Below are 15,186 nucleotides of genomic sequence, written 5' to 3' on the forward strand. Positions count from 1 at the left end.
ACAGGTAAAATGTTAAAAATAACAGATTATGAAAGGACTTTAGGAAGAAAAATAATTGAATAAACAATCCCTTTAAATCTTACTTCTAAACTCTTTCATATTTTGAAATTTACTACCTGTGAGCATAATTTTCTAAATCAATACATCTCTTGATTATCATTTCAATGAGATCCAAACTCTTAGGGTTACTTTGCTTCATTGGGTAATGTGAAAACAAATGTAGCAATTTCAATATGTGTACGGGTATTATGCAATACAAAAGCACTCTGGCAAGAGTATTTGTCAGAAACAACAGAACAATTTGCCTAGCACATAGCAAGTTCTCAATAAATAAATAAATATGTATGGGTATATATATTTCTTTAAAGAGCAATATAACACAGAAGGCAGGAGAAATGATTATCTTAACATACCTTTATGCTTTCTAGTTTGTGGGACTTGAGTTCTTCGTTTAGTTTAGTGATTTCTTTTTCTTGTCTACATTTAATTTCTTCTATCTCTGCCAATTTAGACTTCTCATTTACCAGTTCTTTTTCTTTCAGTGACTGTAGAAAAATGATATATTTTAAAATTATTTTAAAGCAAATACTTAAATGAAAATGGGTGTAATAAAAATGACTGCTACTATTGATGACACTGGCTCTGCCCTTTTCTACCTAACTTGGGCAAATTACTTACCCTCTCTTGGTTCTTGGCTGTTTCCTTATTTATACAGTGTGAACAATAATAAAATAATTGTAAAGATTAAATAGTTATAGTTAATATTGTGAGATAAATTGTACCTGGTCAGAGTAATGATACTGCAAAACTACGATTCTTACTCTTATAACTCCTATTTTATTACTATCACTATCTTTATATAAGGTATCTAGTTAGGATATTATCTCAGTTAATCTCTAGTATATGTAGACTTTTAAATCTCCATTTTCTAGGTGAAGAAACAAAGGTTTAAGAGACATAAAATAATCTATCAGAGATAGAGCCAAAACCAAAGCAAGTCTGTATGATCTAAAGCTCACACAACTAAACTCCTATAAACAACAGTTCTTTTTCTTTTTGAAACAGGGTCTCATTCTATCACCCAGGCTGGAGTGCAGTGGTATGATCATGGCTCACTCACTGCAGCCTTGACCTCCCAGGCTCAAGCTATCCTCCCACCTCGGTCTCCCGAGTAGGTGGGACTACAGGTGTGCACCACCATGCCCAGCTAAATTTTTTTTTTTAATAGAGACAAGGTCTCACTATGTTGCCCAGGCTGATCTTGAACTCCTGGGCTCAAGCAATCCCTCCTCCTTGGTCTCTGGGAGTGCTGAGATAACAGGCATGAGCCATCAAACCTGGCCTTATGAACAAGAGTTCTGTCAGAATTCTCTAAACTTGAAGCACAAATCATGAATTTCATTCCAGCTTCACCATCACCACACCCACAGAACATTTTTAAATTAAATTTCAGGAACTGAACCATTTAGAATTTACCAAGAATTTCAGGGAATATACACTGCAGAGTAATATCCTGTCAGCTAACAGGAATATATGATTTCAACTATAAAACAAAAAATAAACTCTTTCCTAGGATCTGAATTTTTCTTTCATACAGAATTTAAAGTGATTTTTAAAATGTACTGGTCATATATTAGTAAACCAATGCTTTCAACTTTGAAACTTAATAAACTCCTTAGACAATCTGGTTCTTAATTTTAAGAATTCTTAACATGTTTAAGAATTATTTCTAGATCTTTTATTATCTCATTCACACATCTAAAGGATAATACGTTATATGAGAAATAGTTGAGGAACTATATTATCTTTTCTGCAATAACCAAGGGTCTATGGTGTGAAAAATTGACTTGTTTGTAAAACTAAAGAGCAGTAAGAAAAAAGGGTAGAAATAACAAGGAGGCCATTAAGAAGTACTTCCTAGCATTAAAATCCCAATGATCAAAAGTGTCAGAAACTAGAGGTCCCTCTGAGAGAGCTGTTGAAAATAAGGATGATGCCTGTACTAAATAAGAGGTTTGACTGGATGATCTCTAAGACAACTGTAACTCTAAGATTGTAGATTTAGGTCAGAAACATGCAATACCTTTTCTTTCTGAATGTCTTGTAGTGCTTTACATCGCTCCTGCAATTGCTGTTCTTTCTTTGCTGAATCCTGCTCCAATGTAGCCTTGGCAGTCTTCAGTTCTTGAATCAATTTATTTTGATTTCCAATTTGATTTCTGTTTGAAATCAAGTCCTCCTGTGCTAGAGAAAGCTTCTCTTCTACAGACTTACAAAAACAATTTTCCCAAATTATTATATGCCATGTTTTTAGTAAATTCAACAGAAACATAGTTAATATAAACATTGTAGAAAGCAATAAACTATAAAAAGATAGCATATTATACCCTTCAGTAAGACAGGTAAAAGAGAAAGAATTCTAAAATATTAACTCTCTTGCTTATAGAAAACATTTATAATATAAAATATTTAGTAAAATGGAAGCAATTCCAAAGCCTCCAAAAATAATCTATTTACTAAATAAATATTTAAAGTATTTGCTGAATGTTGATCACATCTTCAATATTGGCTAGTTGATATGAAAGAATACCAAATAAGTAGGGACCATATCAGATACACTCAGAGAACATATATATGGTTAAAGTCATAAGGCAGTGTGAAAGAAAACAATCTTAAAAGAGATATAATTAAATGCTTCATTATGCATACATATACATTTGGTAGGTTCTATGATGTCCCTTGACATGCTAAAAATATTAATAAATAGTATGGTGTTATGATATAGTGGTTTTTGTCCAGGGTTCCTGAATCACAACTCCCACATCCTTTGTTACAGTTTTTTGTTACAATGTTGGGTATGTTAGGCCTCAGGAAACAGAATCTCGTCTCCTGCCCTTCTTCCACTGGTCCCTAGGCAGGCCTCTAATCTTCTTCCCCACCCCATTTTCTGATTGTGAGTCTTAAGACTCTTCCCTGAAAGGGTCCTGCCTCATACCCTGGGTGAAAGAATGCTTCCATAAAAATCCAAGAGAACTGGGTTTGGGGAACTTCTAGATAGCTGAACATACGGAGCCTGGAGGGTGGCATGCCCGGGGAGGGCACGGAAGCTCTGTGCCCCTTCCCCCATATCACCCAACACATCTCTTCATCTGTATTCTCTGTAATATCCTTTATAATAAATCAGTAAATGTAAGTAAGTTTTCCCTGAGTTCTGTGAGCTGTTCAGCAAACTAACTGAACCCAAAGAGGGTGTCATGAAAACCCCAACTTGAAACTAGCTAGTTGGTCAGAAGTTCTGGAAGCCTGGATTAATGATTGGTGTTTGGAGTTGTAGGGAGCAGTCTTGGGGATTGAGCCCCCAATCTGTGGGATTTGATACTATCTCTAGGGAGATACTGTCAGAATTAAATTGGAAGACACACAGTTGGTGTCTGCTTCTTGGTGTGTGTGGGAAAATCCCCATATGTTTGGTCACAGAAGTCTTCTGTGTTGATGATTGTTGTGGTGTGAGAGTAGGGGAAAAACACAATTTGAGAGAGTTTTTCCTGAAACAAATAGGAAGGATTATTTTGTCATGGAATAAAAATAATAACAACTTCACAGCTGACAACCTGATCAAGTGAACAAAAAGAGAAAATTCAGCCAAACATAGAATGAGGCTCTATCCTGAGAAAGCACACTGTCCTCTTCTCATCTATATCGTAGAAGTAGTGATTGTCATTTAACATAGTCCATAGTTGTTGACTGTTTTAAAGCCCAAGTATTTTGAGAAGAAGAAGTTGGGGAAAGGGGAAGCTTTTTCACTCATGACACTTCAGTTGGGGATAAATATGGTAACAGGTAGATAATGGGTATGGTAGGAACCTTGCCACTCTCAGCTGCTACTGCGAAGAATCAGCAGGGTAAGAGATCCAACTGATCTCTTCCATCAGATCTGGAAAAAGCTGATCTTTCTTATTCTGGAGATACAGCTCCTTTGAAAAGGAGGCAGAAAACGTAATTTAGCAAAGGATCCTTGCTGAGTAGGCTTGTATACAGCAAGTACTCAGTAAAAAAAAAAAGAAAGATGAAATAAATAAATAAAGATCTTATTTATGAGGATTCTTAAGCTTCCTGAAAGTTTACTTCTTACCAGTAACCCAGTTACGTCTTTCTGATATAAATTAAATCTTAATTTTCAATGACTGCCAGTAGAACACTAAACCCCTTGAGGCTTTTTTCAGGGAAGAATTAACATCAGCTAGTTCTTCACTAATCCAGCACCTAACCATTAATTGAGAACACTGCTAAGACAGAACAGGAGGGTACAAGCTGGTCTTTGACTTAAGGGAGTTGAGTACATCGCCCAAAAAGCAGAACAGCCATGTAAAATGGAAGCTACACAGGGCAGGAGAGTATACGCTATGTGCCAAATGCACAGAAAAACAGTGAGTGTGAGATGCTGTGGAGTGGGGTTTACAGAAGGCTCTATACCACATGTGGGAACTGACCTATATGTCACAAAGGGTGAGAGTGATTTCACATAAAAAAGGAGAAAAGTTGACAAAGTCCAGTTCAAACAGTCTACAGCAACTATAATTAGTTAATAGAGATCCTGATCTAATGTTTAAAAATACCAACGCTTGCTAGAGCCTGGAAAGCAACCCTAACCTCTAACCACAAGATTTCCAAAAAGCCCATGGTTTAAATAACAGCCTATAAAATGTTAAACTCACAAAACCCAGTGACTGATTTTTTAAAGTCAAGCTCAAAATTTGGACTGCTCCATGAAATCCTTTCTGAACATGCCAAGACATGTTTTCCCCTGCCTCTGAACTTTCATCTACATCATTCAATGACATAGATGAACATTTATACTGCCATGCATTTTAAATGTTCTTTTCATCTTTCTTATTGCAGATTATAATAATATTGCATATTATTTCCTCTGCTCAGCATCTCTTCCCTCGGAGAACCCTCTCTCCCATTCCATGGTTTTGTTGGGACTATCTCTAACCCATCTACTCCCCTTGAAATAGGCAAATCCCTAAATGGATCAAATACCAACCTTGACCCTGATTATGCCAATCACATTATAGCACCCCAGTAAACAAATGATTTCTGCAGTGTTCCATGGTAGCTGTTGTTTTTGTCTATTCAGCAAGTTTTCCCATACTTTCTTAAAAAAAAAAAAAAAACTTCATATTTTTAGTTGTTTTTTCTTGATTTCTGATGAAATGATATAGAGTACTAGGCTAAGAAGATTTATATTTAATTCTAAATCTATTATCCTAGAATTTTCACTTCACTCAGGGTGTAAATTTTACAGTTAAATTCTACCTCTACCTTTCCTGGACAACAAAGAGTGGTGTACAGCATAGCCAATCTGAAATATCCAGTCAACAAACTTAAGTACTTCATAAATAATCCAGCAGATGGGGCTAAAGGCATAGATCAGGCCAGGCTACCTTCCATTCTACTGGTGTCTAGGTATATACACTGTTAGCCCATGCTCTACACTGTCAACCCATGGTAGATAGCCTTGAAGTAGTTAGGTATCATGTTACAAGGCTCTGAATCTCTCCTCTTCTCTCTCTTATACACAAGACCATCCAACATCATTGAAGCAAAAGAAAAATAATAACTGATAGCCATCTCTTATCCTAGTCTATAAATATCATCTGAACTTCCCTAGGAATTGACTATTTTTTTTAATTAGCTTCTTAAGTAGTTCATACACTTCTCATTTTAAAAGCATTTTATATAAAATTTACCAATCTTTTATTTTGTTAAAAAATTATAGTGAAATGATGAAAGAATGGCAGACTTTGAATCAGAACTAAGATTTAACCATGGTTCTGTTATTGTACAGCAGTAGGCCTGTCTTCTCTGCAAAAGGAAGCACTGGGCCTGCTCTCTTTGGCAAAAGCAAGCTTTGGAATAGAGGATCTATCCAAGGTCCCTTAACAGTTGTAAAACTCTATGGCAGCCTTGTCCCTCAGCTTTCTCTTTTTGCCCATATTTACATTTGAGTTATTCTTTCATGTATGAAATTATTAGTACACAACATAGCTTTCAAGCATAATAAAAATCGCTGGCTTAATGAAAGAATATCAATCAAATCAATTAACATTGATTAATTTAATGTTGGTTCCTGTTACTAGCTTATGCTTTGGGTAAATGACATCCATATGGAAAGAGTGTGATTTCTATAAGACTTTTCCAATCAAACATTAAGTTTCATCTCTTCTATCATTTAAATATCCTTCAAATTCATCCACTTTTCTCCATCCTTGCTATTACCAGCCCACACCACCATCGTCTTGCACTTAGACTACTGCAAAGTCTTCTGGTCTTCAGATTCAGCCCTGTTTCTCATTCCTCAATCTGCAGTGAGTCATTTGCCTAAAATACAAATGTAAGTAACTCCCTTTAGTGGTTCCTCACTGTTCTTAGGCTAAGCCCAAACTCCTCCACAAAGCTTCCTTGACTTTCAATACTTTCAATAGTGTTGTAAGGTCAAATAATAATAATTTAACACTACCTAAATCTTGTGTGGTATTTTTTCTTAATAACAACTATTGCTAATTTTTACCTCCAGATAAACAGATAGATACATAGATAGATACATAGATATTCTACTGGCACTATGAAAATTCTTTCACCCAATTTCCTATCTCTGTCAAATCCTTGCAGCCAGGTATGGGTTCAGTCCTTTTGTTTCTTCTCTCTCTCCCATTAATCTCTATTTCATCCTCTTTAATGTTCATCCCAGTTCTAATCAACTCATACCTCGACTATTAGAATTTATGGAGAAAGGAAGTTAGTAACCTCTTAACTCATCTCTCCACCACTAGTCTATCCCAGGTCCAATCCAAGCTGTCTGCAAACCACTACCAGGTTGTTTTCTAAAGTACTATTTTCTTCATTTTACTCCTCTATTTAGACTTTTCACTTTTTCCCCTCAAATATAAAATCCAATCATCTTTGCTAGGCATCTAAGATACTTCACAATTTAGATCCAACCTTTTAAACCTTAATTCCAAACATAAACTAGTACGCCAGCAAGGCAATTATGTTAACTGTCTGCTTGCTTTATTCATTCTCACTATGGCACCTTTTCTCAAATGTGCCCCTGAATAAAATGACCTTTCTCCGGAGTCTCTGTGTATTCAAATTCAGGACCTAATCAAGTCCCACCTCCTTCATAATTCCTTATAACAGCCTATGGATAAAATATATGCTCCCTATCTAAATAAAACATTTTAATATTCTTTCATTCTCAGAATTTTGCAATATGCACTTTAAATAAACAAAATCCCAAACATAGGAAAGAAACAGATAAAGCATTTCCCCTTAACAAAAAGAGAGACAGAAAAAAAACTGGCTGAATCCTCTGTGAGAGAACACAAATATTCCATTTTCCTTAGAAAACTGGTACCTTCCTGTGACCTAAAAATTGTTTACCCTTTTCCCATTATCCTTCAATTTAATAAACTTGATACTTTATCTAATCAAATAACATTACCAAAGACAAAATTTCTATACATTGTTATATAATTAAGGGTAAGTTTATTTTGAGCTATAATCTCCTAATTTTAATCATTAGGCAATCCAGTAATATTGGGAACTTGACAAATATTATAACTAATGTCAGAATTGCCTGACAAGCAATGGTAAAATTGCTTGCATTTTTTCACAAGTGGTTTACATTTAAAACTTAACAGCAGCCTATCTTTAAAGTTATTCACACACAAAGACAGCATAATACTTACATAAGTTAACAGTGTCACAATTAAGATATATCCAAATTATCTTACTATTATAAATATGTCATTTTAAAATGCCCACATTTTAAACAATTTTTTAAAGCATGCTAATACAAAATAACAATTTAATAGAAAACAGCACACTATTCCACAAATACTAACATTTCCTTGCCCATTTGGATTCAAATAGATCATTTAATAAATGTCTATAAAACTTACTGAGACTTTATGGTACAGTATAGTTTACTATACCTTAAGATCTTGCCTGGTGGCTAGAAGTTCAGATTCCCTCCCATAGAAATCAGATTGAAGCTGTTTGAAAGTTTCCTGACTTTTTTCATAGTTGTTTTGTAATACTGATATTTTCTCTTTCTCTGCTGCAAGTTCCTGGGCTGCCTGTGTTAACTGCTGCTGTAGTTTATTCTCAAGCTCTGTCTGAAACATACAATAGTTATTTAAAACAGTATGCATTCCAAAAACCAATTACAAATATAAAGTAAAATCCAGACAACTAGAAGAAAATTCCAAACAATAAGATGAACTGTACTTATGCCCCAAATTTCTACCTCAATAGGGTAAATTACTTATAAAGTCAAAGAATTACAAAATCTAACAAGTCTCAATTTAAAGAACATAAAATACAAAAGTAATTAATTTTTTTTTTTTTTTAAAAAGGCATTTCACTGGGAAGTACTATCAGGTCTCGGGAGAAAGAGTAACAACTACATTCTGAGGGAGCATGCAGTGCTAGATGCCTCAGCTGACGTAATTTAAGGTGGAACTAAGGGAAACTTGTACATGAAAGAAAGTAAGAAGCCATTACTTTGTTGAAGTATTAATATATAGTTTCTACTCTTGGAAATTCAAGAATAACTTAGGAAATTTCTACAGGTCATCTTAATTAATATCAAGGCAGAAAAAGAAAATCTCACAAAGTTTTAAAGCTCCTCTAAACTCTAAACTTGTCTTTAGTCTTCAAGAAGATTCAGGAGATATGCACAAATTATGACATAGTTAAAACATATACATATGCATAGTATGAAAAATAGGTATTTGACTTTCAAAATATACTACCTTCAATAAAATTGCTGTTGAAGTCATTAGTGACTGCCATGTTCCAAAATCCTATATTCTTATCCTTGTCAATGTCTTACTTGACCTGTCAAGTTGTACCTGATATAGTTGATTATGTCTCCTTCTAGAAACACTTTCTTCAACTGGTTTCCAAAGTACTTTATATTTTAGGTTCTCTTCCTACCTTACTGGTGATAACTTCTCAAAATCTTTTACTAGCTCCTTTTCCTCTGCTACTTCTGTGAATGTTGAGACACCCCAGAGTTCTATTGCTGGCCCTCTTTTAATCCATACACTCTCTCTTTAGAAGATCTCAACTAGGCCGGGCATGGTGGCTCACACCTGTAATCCCAACACTTCGGAAGGCTGAGGTGGGTGATCACCTGAGGTCAGGAGTTCGAGACCAGCCTGACCAACATGGTGAAACCCCGCCTCTACTAAAAATACAAAAATTAGCTGGGCATGGTGGTGGACACTTGTAATCCCAGCTACTCAGGAGGCTGAGGCAGAAGAATCGCCTGAACACAGGAGGTGGATGTTGCAGTGAGCCGAGATCGCACCACTGCACTCCATCCTGGGCAACAGAGAGACGCCATCTCAAAAAAAAAAAAGAAAGAAAGAAAAGAAAAAGAGAAAGAAAAGAAAAGAAAAAAAACCCAGATCTCAACTAGTCCCAGGCTTTAAAGATATTCTTTACAACTGACTCCCAAACTTATGTCTCTAACTGCAACCTCTCCATCTGAACTCTGGGTTCTTATATCCATGTATCTTCCTGATGTCTCCACTTGAATGACTGACATACCTATCTCAAGCAGAAATCTGGATTCCTGAGAGTAGCCACGAGCATCAAAAAGCTGTTACTTCTGAGCCTGGCTCGGAGAGGGGGGTCTGCCATTGCTGAGGCTTGAGTAGGTAAACAAAGTGGCCAGGAAGCTCGAACTGGGTGGAGCCCACCACAGCTCAACAAGCCCTACTGCCTCTAGACTCCACCTCTGGGGGCAGGGCATAGCTAAGCAAAAGGCAGCAGACAACTTCTGCAGACTTAAACGTCCCTGTCTGACAGCTCTGAAGAGAGCAGTGGTTCTCCCAGCATGGCGTTTGAGCTCTGAGAACGGACAGACTGCATCCTCAAGTGGGTCCCTGACCCCTGAGTAGCCTAACTGGGAGACACCTCCCAATAGGGGCCAACAGACACCTCATATAGGCAGCTGCCCCTCTGGGACGAAGCTTCCAGAGGAAGGATCAGGCAGCAATATTTGCTGTTCTGCAATATTCACTGTTCTGCAGCCTCCGCTGGTGATACCCAGGCAAACAGAGTCTGGAGTGGAACTCCAACAGATCTGCAGCTGAGGGACCTGTTAGAAGGAAAACTAACAAACAGAAAGGAATAACATCAACATCAACAAAAAGGTCATCTACACCAAAACTCCACCTGTAGGTCACCAACATCAAAGACCAAAGGTAGATAAAACCACAAAGATGGGGAGAAACCAGAGCAGAAAAGCTGAAAATTCTAAAAATCAGAGCACCTCTTCTCCTCCAAAAGATCACAGCTCCTCGCCAGCAACAGAACAAAGCTGGATGGAGAATAACTTTGACGAGTTGACAGATGTAGGCTTCAGAAGGTTGGTAATAACGAACTTCTCCGAGCTAAAGGAGGATGTTCGAACCCATCGCAAGGAAGCTAAAAACCTTGAAAAAAGGTTTTTTCAACCTTTTTGAATGATGAATGGCTAACTAGAATAAACAGTGTAGAGATGGAGCTGAAAACCATGGCACGAGAACTTCATGACACATGCACAAGCTTCAACAGCTGATTCGATCAAGTGGAAGAAAGGGTATCAGTGATTGAAGATCAAATGAACAAAATAAAGCAAGAAGACAAGGTTAGAGTAAAAAGAAATGAACAAAGCCTCCAAGAAATATGGACTGTGTGAAAAGACCAAATCTACATTTGATTGGTGTACCTGAAGGTGATGGGGAGAATGGAACCAAGTTGGAAAACACTCTTCAGGATATTACCCAGGAGAACTTCCCGAACCTAGCAAGGCAGGCCAACATTCAAATTCAGGAAATACAGAGAACACCACAAAGATACTCCTCAAGAAGAGCAACTCCAAGACACATAATTGTCAGATTCACCAAGGTTGAAATGAAGGAAAAAATGTTAAGGGCAGCCAGAGAGAAAGGTCGGGTTACCCACAAAGGGAAGCCCATCAGACTAACAGCAGATCTCTCGACAGAAACCCTACAAGCCAGAAGAGAGTGGGGGCCAATATTCAACTTTCTTAAAGAAAACAATTTTCAACCCAGAATTTCATATCCAGCCAAACTAAGCTTCAAAACTGAAAGAGAAATAAAATCCTTTACAGATGAGCAAATGCTGAGAGATTTTGTCACCACCAGGCCTGCTTTACAAGAGCTCCTGAAGGAAGCACTAAACATGGAAAGGTACAACCGGTACCAGCCACTGCAAAAACAGGCCAAATTGTAAAGACCATTGATGCTATGAAGAAACTGCATTAATTAACGGGCAAAATAACCAGCGAACATCATAATGACAGGATCAAATTCACACATAACAATATTAACCTTAAATATAAATGGGCTAAATGCCCCAATTAAAAGACACAGACTGGCAAATTGGATAAAGAGTCAAGACCCATCAGTGTGCTGTATTCAAGAGACCCATCTCACATGCAAAGACGCATATAGGCTCAAAATAAAGGGATGGAGGAAGATCTACCAAGCAAATGGAAAGCAAAAAAACACCAGGGGTTGCAATCCTAGTCTCTGATAAAACACACTTTAAACCAACAAAGATGAAAAGAGACAAAGAGGCCATTACATAATGTTAAAGGGATCAGTTCAACAAGAAGAGCTAACTATCCTAAATGTATATGCACCCAATACAGGAGCACCCAGAATCATAAAGCAAGTCCTTAGAGACCTACAAAGAGACCTAGACTCCCACACAATAATAATGGGAGACTTTAACACCTCGCTGTCAATATTAGACAGATCAACGAGACAGAGGTTAACAAGGATATCCAGGATCTGAACTCAGCTCTGCAACAAGCAGACCTAACAGACATCTACAGAACTCTCCACCCCAAATCAACAGAATATACATTCTTCTCAGCACCACATCACACTTATTCTAAAATTGACCACATAATTGGAAGTAAAGCACTCCTCAGCAAATGTAAAAGAACAGAAATCACAACAAACTGTCTCTCAGATCACAGTGCCATCAAATTAGAATTCAGGATTAAGAAACTCACTGAAAACCGCAGAACTACATGAAAACTGAACAACTTGCTCCTGAATGACTACTGGGTAAATAACAAAATTAAGGCAGAAATAAAGATGTTCTTTGAAACCAATGAGAACAAAGACACAACATACCAGAATCTCTGGGACACATTTAAAGCAGTGTGTAGAGGGAAATTTATAGCACTAAATGCCCACAACAGAAAGCAAGAAAGAACTAAAATCGACACCCTAACATCACAATTAAAAGAACTAAAGAAGCAAGAGCAAACAAATTCACAAGCAAGCACAAGGCAAGAAATAACTAAGATCAGAGCAGAAATGAAGGAGATAGAGACACAAAAAAAACCTTTCAAAAAAATTCAATGAATGCAGGAGCTGGTTTTTTGAAAAGATCAACAAAATTGATAGACTGCTAGCAAGATTAATAAAGAAGAAAAGAGAGAAGAATCAAATAGATGCAATAAAAAAATGATAAAGGGGATATCACCACCGATCCCACAGAAATACAAACTACCATCAGAGAATACTATAAACACCTCTACACAAATAAACTAGAAAATTTCTAGAAGAAATCAATAAATTCCTGGACAGATACACCCTCCCAAGACTAAACCAGGAAGAAGTTGAATCTCTGAATAGACCAATAACAGGATCTGAAATTGAGGAAATAATTAATAGCCTACCAACCAAAAAAAGTCCAGGACCAGGCAGATTCACAGCTGAATTCTACCAGAGATACAAAGAGGAGCTGGTACCATTCCTTTTGAAACTATTCCAATCAACAGAAAAAGAGGGAATCCTTCCTAACTAATTTTATGAGGCCAACATCATCCTGATACCAAAGCCCAGAAGAGACACAACTAAAAAAGAGAATTTGAGGTCAATATCCCTGATGAACATCGATGCGAAAATCCTCAAATAAAATACTGGCAAACCGAATCCAGCAGCACATCAAAAAGCTTATCCACCACAATCAAGTTAGCTTCATCCCTGGGATGCAATGCTGGTTCAACATATGCAAATCAATAAATGTAATCCGTCACATAAACAGAACCAACGACAAAAACCACATGGTATCTCAATAGATGCAGAAAAGGCCCTCGACAAAATTCAACAGCCTTCATGCTAAAAACTCTCAACAAACTAGATATTGAGGGAACGTATCTCAAAATAACAAGAACTACTTATAGTAAACCCACAGCCAATATCATACTGAATGGGCAAAAACTGGAAGCATTCCCTTTAAAAACCGGCACAAGACAAGGATGCCCTCTCTCACCACTCCTATTCAACATAGTGTTGGAAGTTCTGGCCAGGGCAATCAGGCAAGAGAAAGAAATAAAGGGTATTCAATTAGGAAAACAGGAAGTCAAATTGTCCCTGTTTGCAGATGACATGATTGTATATTTAGAAAACCCCATTGTCTCAGTCCAAAATCTCCTTAAGCTGATAAGCAACTTCAGCAAAGTCTCAGGATACAAAATCAATGTGCAAAAATCACAAGCATTCCTATACACTATTAACAGACAAACTGAGAGCCAAATCATGAGTGAACTCCCATTCACAATTGCTACAAAGAGAATAAAATACCTAGGAATCCAACTTACAAGGGATGTGAAGGACATCTTCAAGGACAGCTACAAACTACTGCTCAATGAAATAGAAGAGGACACAAACAAATGGAAGAATATTCCATGCTCATGGATAGGAAAAATCAATATCATGAAAATGACCTTACTGCCCAAAGTAATTTATAGATTCAATGCCATCACCATCAAGCTACCAATGACTTTCTTCATAGAATCGGAAAAAACTACTTTAAAGTTCATATGGAACCAAAAAAGAGCCTGCATTGCAAGGACTTCATGACTAAAACACCAAAAGCAATGACAACAAAAGACAAAATAGACAAATGGGATCTAATTAAACTAAAGAGCTTCCGCACGGCAAAAGAAACTACCATCAGAGCGAACAGGCAACCTACAGAATGGGAGAAAATTTTTGCAATCTCCCCATGTGACAAAAGGCTAATATCCAGAATCTACAAAGAACTCAAACAAATTTACAAGAAAAAAACAAACAACCCCATCAAAAAGTGGGCAAAGGATACGAACAGACACTTCTCAAAAGAAGACATCTATGCAGCCAACAGACACAGGAAAAAATGCTCATCATCACTGGCCATCAGAGAAATGCAAATCAAAACCACTATGAGATACCATCTCACGCCAGTTAGAATGGCAATCATTAAAAAGTCAGGAAACAGCAGATGCTGGAGAGGATGTGGAGAAACAGGAACACTTTTACACTGTTGGTGGGAGTGTAAATTAGTTCAACCATTGTGGAAGACAGTGTGGCGATTCCTCAAGGATCTAGAACTAGAAATACCATTTGACCCAGCAATCCCATTACTGGGTAAATATCCAAAGGATTATAAATCGTGCTACTATAAAGACACATGCACACGTATGTTTATTGCAGCACTATTCACAATAGCAAAGACTTGGAACCAACCCAAATGTCCATCGATGATAGACTGGATAAAAAAAAATATGGCACATATACACCATGGAATACTATGCAGCCTTAAAAAAGGATGAGTTCATGTCCTTTTCAGGGACATGGATGAAGCTGGAAACCATCATTCTCAGCAAACTATAACAAGGACAGAAAACCACACACCGCATGTTCCCACTCATAGGTGGAAAGTGAACAATGAGATCACTTGGACACAGGGCAGAGAACATCACACACCAGGGCCTGTCGGGGGGTGGGGGGCTGGGGGAGGGATATCATTAGAAGAAATACCTAATGTAAATGATGAGTTGATGGGTGCAGCAAACCAACATGGCACATGTATACCTATGTATCAAACCTGCATGTTGTGTACATGTAAACTAGAACTTAAATAAAAGAAAAAAAAAAGCTGCTACTTCCCCCAATAAATGGCATTACCAACTACCCACATGCACAAACCCAAGTTATCCTTGATCCTCTTCCTATTACCTCTCACTTTTGAATCTATCAGAAAGTCCTGATGATGCAACTTCCAAAATATATTCACAAATCATTATAATCATTCACAAAA

General features: G+C 37.2%; 1 protein-coding gene across 2 annotated transcripts in view; it reads right to left on the bottom strand.

The window, feature by feature from the left end:
• Positions 1-15,186, bottom strand: part of EEA1 (early endosome antigen 1) — a 158,659-nt gene that overhangs the window by 9,230 nt on the left and 134,243 nt on the right. For both annotated transcript variants that reach the window (NM_003566.4, XM_011538814.3), the window contains 3 exons: positions 8,001-8,183; positions 2,084-2,269; positions 414-545 (listed from right to left, as the gene is read on the bottom strand). In NM_003566.4, coding sequence (NP_003557.3) covers positions 414-545; positions 2,084-2,269; positions 8,001-8,183 — 501 coding nt within the window. The remainder of the gene's footprint in view (positions 1-413; positions 546-2,083; positions 2,270-8,000; positions 8,184-15,186) is intronic.

This window comes from Homo sapiens, chromosome 12 (assembly GCF_000001405.40).
Source record: "Homo sapiens chromosome 12, GRCh38.p14 Primary Assembly".
Classification (NCBI taxonomy): domain Eukaryota; kingdom Metazoa; phylum Chordata; class Mammalia; order Primates; family Hominidae; genus Homo; species Homo sapiens.